The following is a 14,460-nucleotide window of genomic DNA, read 5'->3' on the forward strand; positions in this document are numbered from 1 at the left end:
TTACCCTATGCAGCCCTAGAAGCTGTAGCAGCCTTACCTTAAGTTCTTTTCTTAGTAAAGCAGAAAATGAGCAGTTCCCACCCTGTGTAAAGCTGAGAAGATCTTGAATGATGCATGTTGAGGAAACTTGGATACTGATACTGCTGGCAGTTTACATAGACCCCAGTGCCAAAGAATTAAAGAGTCTTGAGTTTTCTTAAAAGAGGCCAGCTTTTAAAAAGTTAAGTATGTTTTCTTTTTGCAGTGACCTGAGCTCTTAAACCTAAGTAGAGAATTAAGACTTGCTCAGCTTTGTGAAGCAGTCAACTTACTTGTACGCACCATAGAATACTCTTGTTAGAGAAGTGAACACATTATGACCAATTAACCATGGAAAGTGAGTGCCCTGGGAAAATTTTACATAGTTAAAACAAAACACATAGCTTTCTTAGGAACTGGAATTGCCTTTCCTCTATTATACCTGGAGTCCAACAAAGGCTATGCCTTTGTGCCAGTCCTTTTACAATGAATCAACCAATTGCTCAATTGTATTCTTGTGGAGGAGGAGGATAACATTCTTTTATGATCCCAGTTTAGATCAGTTTACCACCCAAAGCATGATATTTGATTACCCTTATTAGGTTTCTTTGCATAGCTACAAATGTTACTAATGGTTTGGCCTTGTCTAGCCATTAAAAAAAAGTCTGCCTCTGTGATGACTTAACAGTCAGTGCTGTAAAAGGCACTATTGCTTGGAACTCTGGAAATACGAGCTCAAAGAGAATAGAGCAGTACTTTGGGGTTAGGGATAAACTGCAGAAACAAACCTCTTAAACTCCCGAATATGTCACTGAGTGCCTGACTGCCTATTTTTTCTTCTAAGTGCTGATTTTAAGGCACTCCCTGGGTCTGGGCCTCAATTGCTTTAAGAATTATAAAAGTTTAGCTACCATTTCTGACTATGTTCTTCTATTAGAATTGAGGTTTCTAGGGTTCCCTCTTTCTCTTTCCTTCCAAATGTTTCCAACTCAGTTCTCGGTATTACAGGAAAAACAAGGTGCTGTCAGAAGCCGCTAAATTCTTATCCCTATACCTGCTCCAGCTGAGGTGGGAGGTCGAGATGCTTCTCCTTTTCAAATGTTGGAGCGGTGGTCCCCAGGCTCCTGAAATTTTTAGCTCATCAGTAACAACATGTTGTGCACATACTACTTGCAAGGTCTATATTTTTAATTTTTATATACTAAATGTATATGTTATACATGTTCTACTTAATGTGTAGGTTATATATACTAGGGTATATATGAAAATAAATGCTGCTGGATATGGTGGCTCATTCCTATAATCCCAGCACTTTGGGAGCTGAGGCGGGTGGATTGCTTGAGCCCAGGAGTTCAAAACCATCCTGGGCAACATGGCAAAACCCCGTCTCTACTGAAAATACAAAAATTAGCTGGGTGTTGTGGCATACGCCTGTAGTCCCAGCTACTTGGGAGGCTGAGGCAGGAGGATTGATTGAGCCCAGGAGTTCGAGGCAGCAGTGTGCTGTAATTGTGCCACTGCACTCCAGCCTGGATGACAGAACAAGACCCTGTCTCAAAAAATGAATGAATGAATGAATAAATGAATTCATGCATGCATGCTACTCAGGAGGCTGTGTCTTGCTATGTTGCCCAGGCTGGGATTACAGGCATGAGCCACTAAAACTAAACTTAAGAGGATAAGAAGGGGAGCTCATAGAGATTGTGGTGGACCCCTTTTGCTAGGAACTGCTACTTCCTCCCAAGTAGAGCACAGACAGATCAGGAGTAAATAAGGCATGGGACATAGTTTTAGCAACAAGAAGAGTGAGGACGATGGAAAATCAGGAAGCGAGCATCTTAGCAAACACAATATGTTAATAAGCAATGAGACATGGATTTGTTAGGGAGGATGGAGGGGCAGGAGTCTAGAGCAAACTCCCTCGCTGCTGCTGTTTGAGTGCTGTCTACATCACTAACATTGTGCTGGGTGCTTTTTGTACATTATCATTTCATCCTGGCAGCCAAACATAAAGTGGGGTTTAAGATGAGAAGACTAAGGCAGACAGGAGTTAAATGAAAAAAAGATAAAATAAGACGATTTTTTAAATCTATTGTTAACTGGAAAGACTTTATCATATCATTAACTAATATCTCATAGTACAATATGTATGCAAGATACTGTTTATTATTAATGAGTGAGTATAAAGTTGTATTTTATATAATCTCGATAATTGTGACTTTTTTGCCCAACATGTGATCACACTGCTCCTCTTTTGTTTTCTGATGTAGCTGGTAAAGACTCCTACTAAGATTAGAGGTGTGTGTTCTACTGTTTTCTTATGCTTATATGATTTGTATTTTTTACAGTCTCCAATTGCTTTGAAGACATATTTTTAAAGCTACTTGCTTATTTAGTGAGTGTAGCTTTGGTATCAACTGGGTTATATAATCTGTTAATCCACTCAACCAGGCATGTACAAACTGTAGAACATCACAAATGCTGGAAGTGAAAAAAGGAATGACAGTCACTGTCCAGGCTCTTCTTTGTAGAACGTCTACTCCTCTCTTGTGATATCCCTTGAACTGTTTGTGTCATGGGATCTTGTCATAAGGACCAAGTTAGGATTCTACTGAAAATATACACATTAAATATTTGTAAAGCTAATTTTGTTTCCTTTTAGTTTTAAAAATAAACATAGTTCTAATATTTACTTCCTACACTCTGGTAGAGATCATTGTTTTTGGTGACTCTTGTCTTCTGAGTAGACAAGGGTGTGACCTCAGTTTTCTTATCTGTTAAACAGGGAGTTGGACTAGATGACTTTTTAGGTGTTTGGGAAGGGGATTTTTTTTTTAACCACATTTAGTTTTGTACCTACTTTTTTGTACTGACATATGCCTGTTAACTCATCCTTCTAAGTAATACTCACTGGTTGGAAGTTTCTGTAAGGAATAATGTTCAGAAATAGGAGTGACATATTAAGGTTTGCTTTTTAAGTCAAGATTTTGGAAATATCTGTTACATCCAAAATGGAACTTGAAAAGCTTTCTTACTCTTCAAGGCCCATCCAGTTTAAACTCTACCCTCTCAGGAAAATTTTTGTCAGACCCATGTTTGAAGTATCTGCTATCTGTTTTTTTTCTTCTATAGAATTCTACTTCTACATTAATCAGTAGACTTGAATTATGGTTATATGTGTACATGTTTGCTTTTTATGAGGCACAGCTGTTTATTGTTTGTTTTGCTTTTGAGACAGTGTCTCGCTCTGTCACCCAGGCTGGAGTGCAGTGTTGCTATCAGGGCTCACTGCAGCCTCGACCTCCCAGGCTCAAGAGATCCTCCTGAGGAGCTGGGAACACAGGCATGTACCACCATGTCCAGTTATTTTTTTTCAGACTTTTTTTTTTTTTTAATAGAGACAGAGTCTCCCTGTGTTGCCCAGGCTGGTCTTGAACTCCTGGCCTCAAGCAATCCACCTGCCTTGGCCTCCCAAAGTGCTGCAATTACAGGTATGAGCCACCATGCTGGGCCAATCATATTTTAATTTTTAGAAAAAAATGAGGATTTGGAGTTGTTAGAATTGAGAAACTAAAAAGAACCATGTACAGAAAGAATTGTTTTGTAAACCTCTATACTGAGTCATCTAATTTCAATGTCTACATAAAAGAAGCTCAGAGCTCTTTCTTGAATATCATGTAGAAAGATGATACCTTGGTTCCCTTGAGAACCTGATTCATGACATCATTGCTTTTGGCCATTCAGGAGTCAGTTCGGTTTTTTGAAAGGAACATGGAACTGGGACTCGGGCACACTGAAAATACTACCAGCTTTGACACTTACTAGTGGATGATCTAGGCTGTTTAGCTTGATCTCTCTGAATCTGTTTCCTTATATGTGGAAATGGGAATAAAGATGGGTCCCAGAATATAGTGTGTGTGTGTGCGCGCACATGTGCATGCAGTGTGCATGTGTGCGCGCACATGTGCATGCAGTGTGCATGTGTGCATGCATATGTGTATGTGTATAAATTTATGTAGTGTAATAATATTATTTTTATTCTCATTTTACATATTAGGAAACAGCTAATAATTCTATAATATGTAATATTCAGTCCTGTTCCTTAGCTCACTGGGCTGATGTGAAAGTCAGATGTGATAATACATCTGAAAGTGCTTTATAAATTAGAAAACACTTAAATGTGAAATGTAATTTACCTTGATAATGGCACCTGTTACTTATAATATCATGGTGGTCTTCCTTAGTCTTTGGTTTTAGGCCACCATGAAGAATCACTTTCAAACTTATTTCTTTCTTTCACAACATTTGTCATTGTTATTAGCTGAGAATGAAATCTCTAGTGAATTTGTCCTGAGACATTCATACTACCTTATGACTTAATGAAAAAACCCATCACTTTGAAACAGACAAACAAAAAACACTGGGTCAGCCAATTAATGCTATTTTAAGTAATGAAGTTAACTGAAGTAAAATATTCTAAGGTTTCAAAAGCTGTATAGAGTCAGATTAACTCTGTAAGCAGAATGACGAAATTCTCTTATGGCAGGTCCAGAGGGGAAGCTTCCTGGACCCAGCCTTAGATTGAATAGTGATCATGTGGACTTGTTCCTCACACTTGTTTCAAGTTTGTTTCAATATGACTGTAGTTGTTTTGATACTAATATGTGCCTACTAGCTGAGTGCTACTGGGCAAGTTAGTTAACCTTAGTGAGCTTGATTTTATAAGTAAAAATAGAGATAACAACTGCTACTTTTGGTGGCTGTTTTAAGGATTGGAAATAATTTTTTTTTTTTTTTGAGACATAGTCTCACTCTGTCACCCAGGCTGGAGTGCAATGGCGCGATCTTGGCTTACTGCAACTTCTGCCTCCTAGGTTCAAGCAAGTCTTCTGCCTCAGCCTCCTAAGCCTGAGTAGCTGGGATTACAGGTGCACACCACCATGCCCGGCTAATTTTTGTATTTTTAGTAGAGACGGGGTTTCACCATGTTGGCCAGGCTGGTCTCGAACTCCTGACCTCATGATCCACCCGCCTCGGCCTCCCAAAGTGCTGGGTTTACAGGCGTGAGCCACTGTGCCTGGCCGGATTAGAAATAATTTATATAAAGTTCCTGGCACATATTCATCAGAATTCTGATTAGCACACATGGGTATGAGGAAACTAACTGGAGACCTGGGAAAGAACTGTCGGGAAGGATTAGAAGGAATAGTGCTTAGCACTCACACAGACCAGGAACAGTGCCAGTTCTTACCAGCCACACGGTAAAAAACCATGTAGTAATGTACAGCTTATTGGGTACTCAGAGGCCTCTTGCCTCAATAATGGGGAATAATTAGCCCACAGACAGTGTGGTTTCTCAACCTCAGCACTATAGGAATGTTAGACTTGATAATTCTTTGTTTTAAGGGGATCTCCTGTGTATTATATGATGTTTAGCAACGTCCCTGGCCTCAACACACTAGATGCCAGTGATGCCTCCTTTTGTGAAAGTAAAAAATGTCTCCAGACATTGCCAGATGTCCTCTGGGGATCATAGTCATCTCCTGTTGAGAATCAGAGCCCTAAACTCACTTCTGTGCTGGTCCTGCCTAATGAAGCTTAAAAGCAAGACCTAAGGGTCAAACTCTTTCCAAGTAATTTAACTGCATCCAAGAATAAAGATCAAGAATGGTTATAGGGTTTCCCCCCACCTACAGAAACAGAAAAAAAAATTTAAAATTTTGGCCTGGCAAGGTGGCTCACACCTGTAATCCCAGCACTTTGGGAGGCCGAGGCAGGTAGATCACTTGAGGCCAGGATTTTGAGACCATCCTGGTCTCATGGTGAAACCCCATCTCTACTAAAAAGACAAAAACTATCGGGGCGTGGTGGCAGGTGCCTGTAATACCAGCTGCTCAGGGGGCTGAGGCGGGAGGATTGCTTGAGCCCAGGAGGTGGAGGTTGTAGTAAGCTGAGATTGCACCAGTGCACTCCAGCCTGGGCAACACAGTGAGACCCTGCCTCAAAAAAAAAAAAAAAAAAAACAAACAAAACACTCTGAAATATAAAATCCTGGCTGGGTGCAGTGGCTCATGCCTGTAATCCCAGCACTTTGGGAGGCCGAGGTGGGCAGATCATGATGTCAGGAGTTCGAGACCAGCCTGGCCAACATGGTGAAACTCCATCTCTACTAAAATTACAAAAATTAGCCGGTCATGGTGGTGAGTGTCTGTAATCCCAGCTACTCAGGAGGCTGAGGTGGGAGAATTGCTTGAAACCAGAAGGTGGAGGTTGCAGTGAGCCAAGATCATGCCACTGCTCTCCAGTCTGGGCAACAACAGCAAAACTCTGTCTCAAAAAAGAAAAAAAAGAAAATCTCAAGCAACCTTGAATATCCAAAGCAATCTTGAAAAAAATAGAGAGTGTACAGTTCCTGCTTTCAAAATATACTACAAAGCAGCAGTCTGATATCAAGATGGTATAGTACTGGCATAAAGACATATATATAGACCAATGGAACAGAATAGAGAGCATGTAAATAAACACACACACACACACACACACACACACACACACATAGAGGGAGAGTCAAATGATTTTTGACAAGGGTCCCAAGACTTATACGATGGGGCAGAGACAGTCTGTTCAACAGATGGTGTTGGAAAATTGGATATCCATATGCAAAAGAATGAAATTGAGACTGGGCATGGTGGCTCATGTCTGTAATCCCAACACTTTGGGAAGCCGAGGCAGGTGGATCACCTGAGCTCAGTAGTTTGAGACCAGCCTTAGCAACATGGCAAAATCCTGTCTCTATAAAAAATACAAAAAAAAAAGGCCAGCATGGTGGCTCACGCCTGTAATCCCAGCACTTTGGGAGGCCACGGTGGGCGGATCACTGGAGGTCAGGAGTTGGAGATCAGTCTGGCCAACATGGTGAAACCCCGTTTCTACTAAAAATACAAAAATTAGCCAGCTACTTGGGAGGCTGAGGTAGGAAAATCGTTTGAACCTGGGAGGTGGAGGTTGCAGTGAGCCAAGATCATGCCACTGCACTCCAGCCTGGGTGACAGAGTGAGACTCCATCTCAAAAAAACAAAAACAACCAAAAATCCCAAAGCTGGCGTGGTGGTGTGTGCCTGTGGTCCCAGCTACTCGGGAGACTGAGGTGGAAGAATTACTTGAGCCTGGGAGGTCGAGGGTGCAGTGCGCCAAGATCATGCCACTGCAGTCCAGCCTAGACAACAGAGTTGAGACCCTGTCTCTAGAAAAAAAAAAAAAAAAAAAAAAAAAAGAAGTTGAACCTTATACCATATGCAAAAATTAACTCAAAATGAATTAAAGACCTAAATGTAAAACCTGAAACTCTTAGAAGAAAACATTGGGTGAAAGCTTCAGGACACTGAATTTGGCAATGATTTCTTGGATATGGCATCAAAAACACAAGCAACAAAAGCACATATAGACACATGGGACTTCATCAAACCAAAAAACTTCTGCACATCAAAGGAAATAATCGGTAGAGTGAAAAGGCAACCTTAGGTGTGGAAGAAGATATTAGTAAATCATATGACTGATAAGAGGATAATATCCAGAATATATAAAGAAGATCTGTAATTCAGTAACTAAAAACAACCTAATTAAAAAGTGGGCAAAAGATTGGAGTAGATGACATTCCAAAGATGACATACAAATGGTCCATAAGCATATAAAAAGATGTTCAATATCACTACAAATGGTCCTTGACTTACAGTGGTTCGACTTACAATTTTTTAACTTTATGATAATGCAAAAATTATACACATTCAGTACACTCCTCCACTTATGATGGGGTTATATACAAATAACCCCATCACAATTTGAAGTAAGTCAAAAGCGAGTTTTCTATGCACTTTCATCATCAGGATATAACATGACTGTAAGTTGAAGAACATCTGTATTCATAAGAGAAAACAAATATGCATCAAAATCATAATGACATATCACCTTATGCCCATTAGGATGACCAACAGCAAACAAATAGAAAATTTAAAAAGTGTTGCTGAGGGGATGCAGAGTGATTGGACCCCTTTTGAGAATGTAAAATAGTGCAGCCATTATAGAAAGCAGTATGGAGGGCCCTCAAAAAATTAAAAATAGAATTAACATATGATCCAGCAATTCCACCTCTAGGTATATATTTGAAAAAATTTAGAGCAGGATTTTTTTTTTTTTTCCCCTGAGACGGGGTCTTGTTCTGTCACCCAGGCTGGAGTGCTGTGGCATGATCCCAACTCAATATAACATCTACCTCCTGGGTTCCAGCGATTCTCCTGTCTTGGCTTCCTGAGTAGCTTGGATTACAGGTACATGCCACCATACCCGGCTAATTTTTATATTTTTAGTAGAAATGGGGTTTTACCATGTTGGCCGGGCTGGTCTCAAACTCCTGACCTCAGGTGATCCACTTGCCTTGGCCTTCCAAAGTGCTGGGATTACAGGCATGAGCCACCGTGCCCAGCCTAGAGCAGGATCTTAAACAGATATTTGCATATCCATGTTCATTGCATCATTAGTCACAACAGTAAGACGTGGAAGCAAACTACATGTCCACTTGCAAGTGACTATATGAAGGAAATGTGGTATAGAAATACAATGGAATATCAGGCAGCCTTTAAAAGAAGGAAATCTTGTCATATGCTACAACATGGACGAACCTCAAGGACGTTTTACTAAGCAAAATAAACCAGTGACAAAAGTACAAAGACTGTATGATTCCACTCATGTGAACCATGTAGAGTAGTCGAAATCACAGAAACAAATTAGAAGGGATTGCCAGAGGCTGGGAGAGGAGAGAGGGGAAATTAGTGTTTAATGGGTATAGAGTTTCAGATTGGCAAGATGACAAAGTTATAGAGAACTGTTGCATGACAATGCAATATAATCAACACTACTGAAATGTATACTTAAAAATGGTTAAGAAGGCTGGGAGCAGTAGTTCACACCTGTAATCTAGTTTCACAACTGTAAAGCACTTTGGGAGGCCGAGACAGATGGATCACCTGAGGTCAGGAGTTCGAGATCAGCCTGGCCAATATGGTGAAACTCTGTCTCTACTAAAAATACAAAAATTAGCTGGGAGTGGTGGCAGGCACCTGTAATCCCAGCTACTCGGGGGGCTGAGGCAAGAGAATCACTTGAACCTGGGAGGTGGAGGTTGCAGTGAGCTGAGATTGCGCCATTGCACTCCAGCCTGGGCGAGAAGAGCGAAACTCCATCTCAAACAAACAAACAAAACAAAACAAAACAAAAAACATGGTTAAGATGGTAAATTTAATGTTATGTGTTTTTTACCACAATAAAAAAAGTTATAGGAATATAAAACTGTTACCCAACAAAGTAAACTTTACAGTGTCTTTCATCCAGTAAAAAATTACCAGGCATGCAATGAAGCAGGAAAATATTACCCATAACTAGAAGAGAAAATCTGTCAATCAAAACTGACCCAGAACTAACACAGTTATTAGACTTTTCAGACAATGGCATTAAAATGTAATTAGAGCCATATTACATATGCTTAAGAGAGTTAAGTGGAGACATAGAAAATATTTTAAGAGACCGAATTCAAACGTCTAGAGATAAAACCTACAGCACTTGAGATGAAAATACAATGGACAGGATTAAGGGCAGATTAGACATTGCAGAAGAAAAGATTAGAGACCTCGGAGACATAACAATGGAAGCTGTCTAAAATGCAGCAAAAAGGAAAGAACTACAAAAATACTTAAAATAGCAGTAATTTGCATGATAACTTTAAGTGGTCTAATATTTGTGTACTTATGTTCCCTGAAGGAGGAGGGAGGAACAGAAGAAATATTTGAAGAGATCATGGCTGAAAAAATTTTCCAAATTTGATGAAACCTATAAACCCAAAGATCCAAGATGCTCAGTGAACCCCAAACAAAAGCTATATGAGGAAAACTACATCAAAGCATAATTGTTTTGTTTAAATCCACTGATAAGGATAAAATTCTAAAAGAACCCAAAGAAAAAATACACATTACATAGGAAGAAAGGTAAAAATGATGTAGATGTCTTTTGCTTGTATTCAATTGAAGTCTTCAACTGTACTTGTGGATTTGTCTATTTCTCACTGCAGTGCTGTTGAGTTTTGCCCGCGATGGTGTAGTATAGATAAGATAGTGGAGGAACATTATTAAGGTAGTAAAAGAAAAACAGTCAACCTAGAATTCTACACCCAACAAAAATATACTTCAAAAAAAAAGATGAAATTAAGGACTTTTTAGACATGTGAAAACTGAAAGAACTCACCAGCAGCCTTGCCTGACAAATGTTAAACGAAGTCCTCAAGGCAGAAGGAAATACAGGTCTGTACAAAGAAGAGCATCAGAAATGGTGCTACATGAGTAAACAGATAAGATTTCTTATTGTTTAAGTCATTTTAAAAGCCAGTTGTTTTAAATAAAAATAATAAAACATATGGGGTTTGAGCGGAAAAATGGAAGCATACCATTGTAACTTTTTTTTTTTTTTTGTCTTTTAGAGACAGTTTCTCACTCTGTCACCCAGGCTGGAGTGCAGTGGTGCAATCATGGCTCACTGTAGCCTCTGAACTCCTGGGCTCATGTGATCCTCCCAACCTTAGCCTCCCAAGTAGCTGGAACTTCAGGCACATACCACCACACTGTAATATTCTTATGCTATATTTGAAATTGTGTAATAGTGCTTGAAGATAAGCTGTAGTAAGTTAAAAATGTGTATGCTATAAATCCTAAAGCAATCGCTAAAAATGACAGAGAATTATAACAAGAGAAGAAAGGAGATAAAATGGAATTATAAATCATATTTGGGTAATCCAAAAGAAGAAAAAAGAGGAAAAAAGAAAACAAAGAACAAATGGGACAAATAGAAAACAAATAGCAGGAGAAAAAACTTAACCTTATCGATAATCACATTAAAGATTAATTGTCTACATATCTCAATTAAAAAGTAGAGATTCACTGGCTAACATGGTGAAGTCTTGTCTCTACTAAAAATACAAAAAAAAAAAAAAAAAATTAGCTGGGCATGGTGACGCGAGTCTGCAGTCCCAGCTACTCAGGAGGCTGAGGCAGAAGAATTGCTTGAACCTGGGAGGCGAAGGTTGCAGTGAGCTGAGTTCGTGCCACTACACGCCAGCCTGAGTGAGTGACAGAGTGAGACTTTGTCTCAAAAAAAATGTTTGAATAGAGATATAACATGGTGATGAACTCTCAGTATTGTTCAGACATCAGTTCCCCAAAATCAATCCTTAGGTTTACTGGAATTCCAGGCTAAATCACAGAAGGCTATTTTAGTAGAAATGGACACCCTGATTCTAAAATTCATATGGAAATGTGAATGACCTAGAATGGCCCAAACTATTTTGGACAAAAATAACAGAACTGGAGAACTAGTGCTACCTGATTTCTAGAGCTTTTTGTTTGTTTGTGTGTGTGCGTGTGTTTTGTTTGTTTCTTTGTTTGTTTTTAAGAGACAGGGTTTTGTTCTGGTGCCCAGGCTAAAGTGCAGTGGCATCATCATAGCTCACTGCAGCCTTGACCTCCTGGGCTCAAGAGAGCCTTTCACCTCAGCCTTTCAAGTAGCTAGGGTAACAAGAGCATGCCATCACACCTGCTAATTTTTTTTTTTTTCCTGTGGCAATAGGGTTCTCACTGTGTTGCCCAAGTTGGTCCCAAACTCCTGGCCTCAAGCTGTCCTCCCACTTCAGCTACCCAAAGTGTTGTGACTGTAGGTGTGAGCCACCACACCCAGCCCCTCTAGACATTTTATAAAGTTACAGTAATTAACAGTGTTGTATTTGCATAAAGATAGACATGTGAATGGAATAGAATAGAAAGTCCATAAATAGGCTCACACATATGGACAACTGAATTTCAACAAAGATGCAAATGCAATTCAGTGGAGAAACAATAATTGCCCACAAATGGTGCTGGAAAAATTGGATACCCAGATGCAAAAAAAAGAACATTGATTCATACCTTGTATTATAAACAAACCCAAAATAGATTGTAGACCTGAATATCACTCCCAGAAAATACAAAACTTCTGAAAGAAAAAATACTGTGACCTTGGGTTTGGTAAAAATTTCAAAGATACAACGCCAAAAGCATGGTCTATGATAGAAAGGGTGGATAAGTTGGACTTCATCAAAATGTAAAAGTTCTAGCATTTCAAATAAGCTATTAAGAGAATGAAATGACAATTCTCAGACTGGGAGAAAACATTTGCAAAGTATATATCTAATAAAGCACCTATATCCATAATATGCAAACAACCCTCAACTCACTAAGAAAACAAAATGCACAATAAAATAATGGGCAAAAGATTTGGACACTTAACCGAAGAAGATATATGGATGGGTAGATAAGCTCATGAAAAGATGCTCATCATCATTAGTCATCAGAGAAGTGTAAATATCATACCATAGTGAGATAGCACTATTTGAATGGCCAAAATTAGAAAGATCGATCATACCACGTGTTGGTGAATATGTGGAGGAACGCGAAATCTCATACACTATTGATGGGACTGCAAAATGGTATAATTATTTTGGAAAGTAACTTGATAGCATCTTAAAAAGTCAAATATACATTTACCACGATTTCCAGCCATTCTACTATAGGCATTTACTGAAGAAAAATGAATGTGTTTGTCCACACACAGACTTGCACACAATAGTTCATAGCAGCTTTTTTGTAATAACCAAAATCTGTGAACAACCTAAGTGTCTTCATGATTTATCCATTCAAAAGAACACTACTCAGAAATATAAAGGAATGAACTATTAAAATACACAACATAGATCTCAAAATATTTATGCTGACTGAAAGAAGCCAGAAGAAAAGAGTATGTACACATGATTCTGTTTATATAAAACTCTCAAAAATGCAAACTAATCTATAGTGACATTAAACACATCAGTGGTTGTCTAGGAACAGAGGAGGACGGGAAGGAGGGATTACCAAGGAGCATGAGGAATATTATAGGAATCATAGACATGTTCACTTTCTTAATAGTGACAGTTTCAAATATGTTCTAATATGTCAAAACTTCACATTTTATACATTAAATATGTGCAGCTTAGCGTATGTCAATTATACCTTAAAGCTATTAAAAATCAATTTATAGTTTAGAAAAATGATCATGAAAAGCTTTAACATCATGGGAAAATACTTACAATGTAATATTCAAAGGTGGATAGTTTTGTGTAAATTATGTTTTAAGAAAAAGCCTGTGAAAAGCCTGTGAAGGAACAGTCCAAAAAATTGAGTGTAGTTTTCTCCTGTGTATATGTGTATGTGTATTCAGGATATGTAATTAAATATGGAAAAGAAAGTAGAAAGTTAAAGGTTATCCCAGATTCCATCATCCTGATTAATACTTTTTATCTGTAGATAAACAACATGCCAGGCCCCCCCGCCCCCTCTCTCTCTCTATATATATATGAGATTTAGAGCTGCTTTAATGGCCAAGAACTCTTTCTCCATTCTTTATTCCTCTACTCATCCTCCTGCTGTCACTGCTCTCGAAGAAGCTAGCCAGCGCCATCGGAAAAGGTGATAGTTGCAATCCGTGTGTGAGATGTGAGTGTAGGGGCCCAGGGGATCCCTTTTCCCCAACATACCTGTCTATCTGCTCGCTTAACCTGAGATTCCAAAATTCCTAGAGAATAAAACTTTTTTATTCTATAATTAAGTCGTTTTAAGCATGCAATCTCCTGAAAGAGGCAATAAAATAGTGCCTGGCCTTTCACATGTGCTTTCTCATTTGATCCTGACAACGCTATGAGATAGGTATTATTTCTTCCACTCTAAAAAGTGAGATCCAGAGAGGTCAGATACCCCAGATTGCACAGCTGGTAAGATGTAAAGCCAGCATGGCATCCTGGATCTGCCACGTTTCAAAGCTCAGTTGAAGGCAAGAAAGGATAGGGTGTTGAGAAGGCAGAAGTGCTGTCATGAAGGGTTGACACCTGTAGTAACTGTGGCCCCCTTAATTGGTCTGTCTCTGAACACAGGGACAACAGTGACACTTCAGTGTTGGCGGAAACATGCCTGCTTTTGAGTGCTCTAAAAAGGATGCCTGGGAATGGTGTTTAGCATGTGTCTTTAAACTCTTTCTAGCCATACCATCTGTTTCTCTGAGGCACATTTTCTCAATATTCATTTTGGAATGTAATGATGTACTAGCTTGTATTATATTTGATTTATAACTCTGTAACAAGGATGAATTCCCAGGCCTCAAAATTTAGGTGTGTAAGAAACACTTATCTTCATTTTATTTTATTTTATTTTATTTTATTTTATTTTATTTTATTTTTGAGATGGAGTTTTGCTCTTGTTGCACAGGCTAGAGTGTAATGGTGCGATCTCAGCTCACTGCAACCTCTGCCACCCCGGTTCAAGTGATTCTCCTGCCTCA

At 39.0% G+C, this 14,460-nt stretch overlaps 1 protein-coding gene and 1 long non-coding RNA gene across 16 annotated transcripts in view; one reads left to right on the forward strand and one right to left on the reverse strand.

Moving 5' to 3' along the window:
* Positions 1-14,460, reverse strand: part of PLS1-AS1 (PLS1 antisense RNA 1) — a 60,902-nt gene that overhangs the window by 28,491 nt on the left and 17,951 nt on the right. The window contains exon 2 of the long non-coding RNA XR_001740938.2: positions 10,309-10,366. This is a non-coding gene — a long non-coding RNA (PLS1 antisense RNA 1). The remainder of the gene's footprint in view (positions 1-10,308; positions 10,367-14,460) is intronic.
* The window catches only part of PLS1 (plastin 1), a 117,272-nt gene that overhangs the window by 28,007 nt on the left and 74,805 nt on the right, over positions 1-14,460 (forward strand). For 3 of the 15 annotated variants that reach the window (XM_047448326.1, XM_047448328.1, XM_047448322.1), the window contains exon 2: positions 9,829-10,052. The exons of 11 other annotated variants lie outside the window; for them this stretch is intronic. The gene's annotated coding sequence lies outside the window, so the exon portion shown is untranslated. Of the gene's footprint in view, positions 1-3,416; positions 3,510-9,828; positions 10,053-14,460 lie in introns of all 15 variants that reach the window. One more of the 15 variants, XM_047448321.1, reaches the window with a different exon arrangement.

Source organism: Homo sapiens, chromosome 3, assembly GCF_000001405.40.
Source record: "Homo sapiens chromosome 3, GRCh38.p14 Primary Assembly".
Classification (NCBI taxonomy): Eukaryota; Metazoa; Chordata; class Mammalia; order Primates; family Hominidae; genus Homo; species Homo sapiens.